At 41.9% G+C, this 6786-nt stretch overlaps 1 long non-coding RNA gene across 1 annotated transcript in view, besides 1 other annotated feature; it reads right to left on the reverse strand.

Annotated features, from left to right (window-relative positions):
- The window catches only part of LOC105373186 (uncharacterized), a 29294-nt gene extending 22994 nt beyond the window's left edge, over nucleotides 1–6300 (reverse strand). The window contains exon 1 of the long non-coding RNA XR_002958821.2: nucleotides 6091–6300. This is a non-coding gene — a long non-coding RNA (uncharacterized LOC105373186). The remainder of the gene's footprint in view (nucleotides 1–6090) is intronic.
- Nucleotides 3179–3473: a silencer, noted in NCBI's record as "tiled region #14962; HepG2 Repressive non-DNase unmatched - State 24:Quies". NCBI's record gives its function as "represses a minimal TATA promoter and a strong SV40 promoter by Sharpr-MPRA in HepG2 cells {active_cell/tissue: HepG2}" and the evidence as "EXISTENCE:reporter gene assay evidence [ECO:0000049][PMID:27701403]".
- Nucleotides 6301–6786: the final 486 nt, after the last annotated feature.

Consider the following 6786-nt stretch of genomic DNA (forward strand, 5'->3'; position numbering starts at 1 on the left):
GCCACTTAGACATTCACGCTTTATTGTGTGCATTATCTTAGTACTGCATCAAATGCCAAAAAAAAGCACGATTAAAAAAAAAAAAAAGCACGATTACACTATCTCCTTTTAGAAGTGTGATGTTGGATCCCATGTGTCCAGTGGGAGCCTCCTGTCCTCTTCCTTCAAGAGTACTCCTGGTACAGGTAGCCAGCATAATGTATAGTTGGCTCTCTGTATCCCTGTATTCTGCATTGTCAGATTCTACCAGCCACGGATCAAAAATATTTGAAAAGGTACACTGTTGCTGGGAATGTAAATGAGTAAAACCACTATGGAGAACAGTTAGGAGGTTCCTCAAAACAACTAGAAATAGAGCTACCATACAATCTAGCAATCCTGCTGCTAGGTATATACCCAAAAGAAAGGAAACCAGTAAATCGAAGAGATATCTGCAGGCCCATGTTTGTTGCAGCTCTGTTCACAATAGCCAATATTTGGAAGCAACTTATGTGTTCATCAACAGATGAATGGATAGAGTAAATGTACTTATACACAATGGAGTACTATTCAGCCATAAAAAAAGAATGAGATCCTGTCATTTGCAACAACATGGATGGAACTGGAGGTCATTATGTTAAGTGAGATAAGCCAGGTACAGAAAGACAACCATCACATGTTCTCACTTACTTGTGGGAACTAAAAATAAAAACAACTGAACTCACAGACATAGAGGATAGAAGGATGGTTACCAGAGGCTGGGAAGGGTAGTTGGGAGTGGGGGTGGGAAGTTGGGATGGTTAATGGGTACAAAAAAAATGGAAAAAATGAATAAGACCTAGTAATTGCTAGAACAACAGAGGGAAAACAGTCAATAATAATTTAATTGTACATTTTAAAATAACTAAAAGAGTATAATTGCATTGTTTGCAACACAAAGGATAAATGCTTGAGATGATGGGAACCCCATTTTCCATGATGTGATTGTTACATATTGCATGCTGTGTCAAGGTATCTCATGTATACTATAAATAGATACACCTACTATGTACTCACAAAAATTAAAAAATAAAAAAATTTGAAACAAATATTTAAAAATAATAATACAAATAAAACCAATATAATATAACAACTATTTACATAGCATTTACATTGTATTACATATGATAAATAATGTAAAGGTGATTTAAAATATCTAGAGGAATGTTCATAGGTTATAAAAAAAAATACTATGTAGTTTTATATCAGGTACTTTCACATCCATGGATTCTGGCATCCAAGGGGGTCCTGAAACCAATACCCCATGGATACCAAGGGATTACTGTATACTTTTACCTCAATGCTTCCCCTTTCTCAGTCTCCCGTAGAGAGCATGGGTCTCATTTAACTGCTTCACTTAACTCCCAGTCCACCTATGTCGTTATCCTAACCATACAATTACTTACAGCAAACAGATATGGGCAACTCATATCCATCTGTGAAAGTCTTATTATGTGCAAAGCTTTTTGCAAACATGCTTCCTTTTTATTGTCTAATAGGATCTAACACATGAATCACACATTCTCATTGAACATTCTTGTCGAACATTTCTAATCACATTTTCCTAAAAATGTCTTTGCACTTGGCAGTAGCATTTCAATACCCTTCCTGTTGCCCAAAGGAATGATCAAATGTATACCTGATCAGGTATAGATTTGATTAGCCTGTTCCATTCTCCAGGTCCTTTTTTTTTTGAGACGGAGTTTTGCTCTGTCGCCCAGGCTGGAGTGCAGTGGCATGATCTCGGCTCACTGCAAGCTCTGCCTCCCGGGTTCACGCCATTCTCCTGCCTCAGCCTCCCCAGTAGCTGGGACTACAGGCGCCCACCACGCCCAGCTAATTTTTGTATTTTTAGCAGAGACAGGGTTTCACCATGTTAGCCAGGACGGGTCCTTTTTATCTCACACTCACACTTCCTAACACTCACCAGAGGTTCATCTTGTCACTAAACCAATCCTCTTAGCCATGTCTTCTAGGATGCTACATTAGTTATCTATTGCTGTATAGCAATATTACCACAAACTTAACAGCTTCAAACAATACACACTTAATATCTCACAGTTTCTGTGAGTCAGAGATTCTACATGACTTAGCTAGGTTCTACGTGTCATGGTCTCTCAGAGGCGTGGGTGTTGTCCAGGGCCAGAGTCTCATCTGAGGCTTGAATGCAGAAGAATCTGCTTCCAAGTGCATGTGGTTGTGGCAGGATTCAGTTCCTTGAGGAATGTTCACCGGAGGCCACCCTCAGTTCCTTACCATGTGGGTCTTTCTAACATGGTAGTTTGATTTTATCAGAACCAGGAAGAAAAAGAATCTGCTAGGATGACAGAGTCACAACTGTATGTAGTCTAATCATGTAAATGACATCCCATCACCTTTGCCATACACTATCGGTTGGAAGAAAGTCACACATCACTTTCATACTCAAGTGGAGGGGATCATACCAAGATGTGATAGTGAGGCAGGGATAATTTGGAACCATCTGTCCACCACAGATGCTCCACAACCAAAAAATGATCTCTCAAACTTTACTAATAGAAATTAAGGCCGGGTGCGGTGGCTCACGCCTGTAATCCCAGCACTTTGGGAAGCTGAGGTGGGCGGATCACTTGAGGTCAGGAGTTTGTGACCAACCTGGCCAACATGGTAAAACTCCATCTCTACTAAAAATACAAAAATTAGCCGGGCATGGTGGCACGTGCCTGTAATCCCAGCTACTTGGGAGGCTGAGTCAGGAGAATCGCTTGAACCCAGGAGGCAGAGGTTGCAGTGAGCTGAGATTGCGTCACTGCACTCCAGCTGGGTGACAAAGCGAGAACTTGTCTCCAAAAAAAAAAGAGAGGAAGCAATTAAAAATTAGCACATTTGCCAAATAACATTAGTTGTAGCAGATACTATTGATATCACCTTCATATTCCCCTAGACTCAACCAATTTTAGTGCACCCTGGCTGACTTCCAACTGCTAGCTTCTGTATCTCTGTGCTTGAAGCCTTCTCTTGTGGCAGGAGACTCCCCTGTCTATGCACACCGTTGGTTGCAAGTGAGGTAGAATAAACACTCCCTGAGAGAAGTCCTTAATCAATGCCTGATGGGATCTGGTGGATAAATACCCCAGCTCTCTTGCCCCTTGGTTGGAATAACTGAGGTGTGTCCTATACTGCCCCACAGAGTACCCCAGATGGATTGCTCTCCGGTTGCCCATATGCTAACTAGCTTGATAATACATCTGTGGTTGGCTGCCTGCCCTGCTGTGTTTCTCTTCCCCCATTATTCTCTGGAATTTCTTGGGATCACCTCCCAAGTAAACTACTTGCATGCTGACCTTTCTCTCTGTAATCTAAGCCACCAGTAGTTTCCTGCCATTTCTCGGGGCATTGGGCTGGGATGGAGCATCAAGGACAAGGCGTGTTTTAGAAATACAATTTCAGGAACTTTGTGATTAAAAAAAAAAAACGTAGTACAGTGTTGGTTTCATGCAAAATGATAAACCTGCCCCTCATTTCATTCTCCAAACTTGCTTCTCCTCTCTTCTGTTAAGTAGGATCTTGAAGTTGCCTTTGACATTTACAGCCAGTGTGAATTTTAACAAAGTGCATATGTAAGCCCGACTTCTTAAAACAATCTTCAAGAAACCTCGCTGCTCTGCCGAAAATGCACAATGAGCAGAATTAGCAGCTGTTATCTGCTTCCACCTCTAGAAAGTCCCCCAGCTTCCCATGGGTTCAGTGTGGATTTTTCCCAGTGCTCTGTACCCAAAAAGAACCTAAGAGGCATCAAGTAATAATCACATGATATGACTGCTTAGGCCACCTGTGTTCAGCAACCTTGGCTAAAAGCCTCAGGGGGCCAAACTATCCTCAGTGAGAATTCCTGACACTTGATACTGCTTGCAGAATCTGATCTTTCACTTTTTTTAGAAATACACAAAAACACATTAGAAATTGGTTAGTGAGGTCAAGAAAAGTGTTCTTTGAATAGGTGACATCTTGAAGAAATGGCTCATGGAAATCTTTTAGTTTTAATAGATTTAACACATACACAGTCATATACATGAAACACCCATGCATAGTGATATAATACATGTCCTATAATTTGGTACAATGCTCTGTAAAATATGCAGGCAAATCAGGCATTACTGTTCCATGTTATAGTTGAGGTTACTGACCCTTATAAAGTCAGGCAGCTAGTAAATAATGCAGCCAGAGGTATCTCTTTCACTTATACTTGAAGGCCATACTTAATTTCCTCTAAATTTATCTCCTTTTCCTTCAAGTCTACTGTTACTTAAACCATGATACTGCTAGGGGATGAGAGGAAAAGAACGGAAGGGAAGGGGAGTGGAGAGAAGGGGAGGGGGGCAGGAGGGGAGGGAAATCAATAGAAAGAGAGAAAAATAGTAGGGTCCTTTTTATTAAAAAAGGAGAGAAAACAGAGTGATATGGGAAGATAGAGGAGTTGGAAAACTACATTTTCCTCCCTTCAAAATTATATGTACTAGGCTCAGTTTGTGTGCCTTGCCAGAGCTTTACTCTGTCTGCTTTCTGTTTAGAGTGGCCCTAGCAATAGCTTGCCTTGTCCCTGTCATCATGGAGCCAAGTAGGTTATTGCTGCTGCCCTGTCCACTGTTAGAGATTAACTAGTTAAAAAAAAGATCATCCTATCTGTGCCCTGGATGATGTGGACCCATAGGACTGTGGCTTTCCCAACAGCTGATAAGAGCAATCCTGTGCTGGGAGTGTCTTAGGTTGGATTGTGGAGGAAGCAGACTCGGAGAAGGGGATTTGTATGCAGGAAGTTTATCGGGGGGCTCCACCAAAACAAAGTTGCTGATAAGGAATTGAGGGAAGCCTGCTTGCCAGAATGGGCATAGGGAAAAGTTTGAATTTCAACCTAATCACAATAATGACCTATGCCATAGGGAGCTCTGGGGCTGGGATGGTCCTTCAGAGATGTCTTGAATTAGGGGAATGGGAAGAGCCTTTGTTCACTCGTCTCTCATCAATCAGACATTGGATACGGGCTATCCCTGGGGAGGGGAATGACCTTAGAAAAAGCAGTTCCCTTTAGCCAAGGACAGGGGTTGGCCTGTGGGCCATAGCCTGCCTGCCTCTTTTTTTTGCAAATAAAATCTTATTGGCACACAACTACACTTACTCAATTATGTATTGCCTCCAATTTCCTTCACACTACAATGGCAGACTTGAGTAGCTGTGGCAGAGACTAAATTGCCTGCAAAGCATAAAATAGTAACTATGTGATGTTTTACAAAAAAGAAAAGAAAAAAAATTGTTTACTGACCCTGGGCCTAGGGCAATTCCCTGAGAGGGATCACTATGAGCCATTAGAACCCAACATTCCTGGCAACTGGAGGAAGGAGCACGTAGGTCCTACACACCACATCATCCACTATAGGAAATTAATACCCCATAAAGCAAACTGGACTAATGAAAGATAGTGGACAGATGGGAGCCAGAAGATAAATTCTCCTTTCTTCCACCATAATGGACTGTTCTGAGATGTAATGGTTCTGACAGCCTTTTTGAAGATGTCTCATAAGACTAAGTAATTGCCTACACTTGTTACAAAGCAATGGCTAGTTTAAAAACATATCCTTGAATATTTTTCTCCTGCCCTCCCTACTTTGGTACCTCCTTTCCCCTCACTCCTATTTTTTTTTTAATTTTCTCTCTTCAATAAAGTTTAGCACATAAGGTTTTTGCCTCAGACTGTTTCCTAGGTAACCCAGGATAAGACTTGTAAAATCAAATATTTAGAATTTGGTATGGAACTAGTATAAGGTTAGAATTGTGGGACATTCAGAGGAATGAGGACATATTCCGCCTGTCATCTCATTCCCAATCTCAGGGCACTTTTCAAAGATAACTCTCCTCCAACCCCCAAGTACCTATTGGGTGTAAACTTTGTCCTAAGGTTACTCTTAAGTATTAATACTTCTGCCCTTCTTGCTCCCATTTGCCCACAACCAAGATGGAATGCTTGTCCTTCTTCCCGAGGCTTCTGCTCCAGTTCTGGGAAGCATGTTTATTATATATGATATTCTTTTTACTTACCCTGAGGGTATTCCTGTTGATCTTTCAGGGTATCACCATTCACCTTGTGAGTTATAAAACCACCAAGGAAGAAAGAGTAGTTCTAGCCAAGATACAATTTTTAAGAAGACACACAAAATAAAATGGAGAAAAAGGGCCCTCAGGCTGCTCTGCACTTCTGAAGTATAGCTCTAAAAAATAAAATAAGCAGGCCACACACAAGGAAGCAAGCTAACTTTGTTTTGCTGAGAGGACTCTTTTCCTTGGGTTAATTCCAAGAGGGAACAGGCACCGAGTGAGTCACAGAAAAAGTAGGACAGAAGTTTGCCTTTCAGGGAATGCAATAGTGTGGGCGTAACCACGGCCCCTCGAGGATGCTCAGCAGGCACGACTTCCTGAAGCTCAGGCTATGTCAGGTAGAAGCCTACCATGCAGATCTCCCACGGCCATGTGAACTTGCTCCAGTTCTGCTCACATGCCTACCACAAGCTGAGTTTACAGGAGCTCAGCTTTGTGTTTAATCTGTCTTCTTGGTGAAGAGCTTGGGTGGGGCAAGGTTGGATCTATGGTTGATAAGGGAACTCCAAACCAGGAGTTATAGCAATCTGTGGGGCAGACAACATAGAAATTTAAGCGGCATGGGTTGAGAACTGCTCAATGAGATGTCACCGAAAGGGTATCCAAAGTGGGTCCTGAGACCAATGTGTGGCACCAAAG

The sequence above is a fragment of the Homo sapiens genome, chromosome X (assembly GCF_000001405.40).
Source record: "Homo sapiens chromosome X, GRCh38.p14 Primary Assembly".
Classification (NCBI taxonomy): Eukaryota; Metazoa; Chordata; class Mammalia; order Primates; family Hominidae; genus Homo; species Homo sapiens.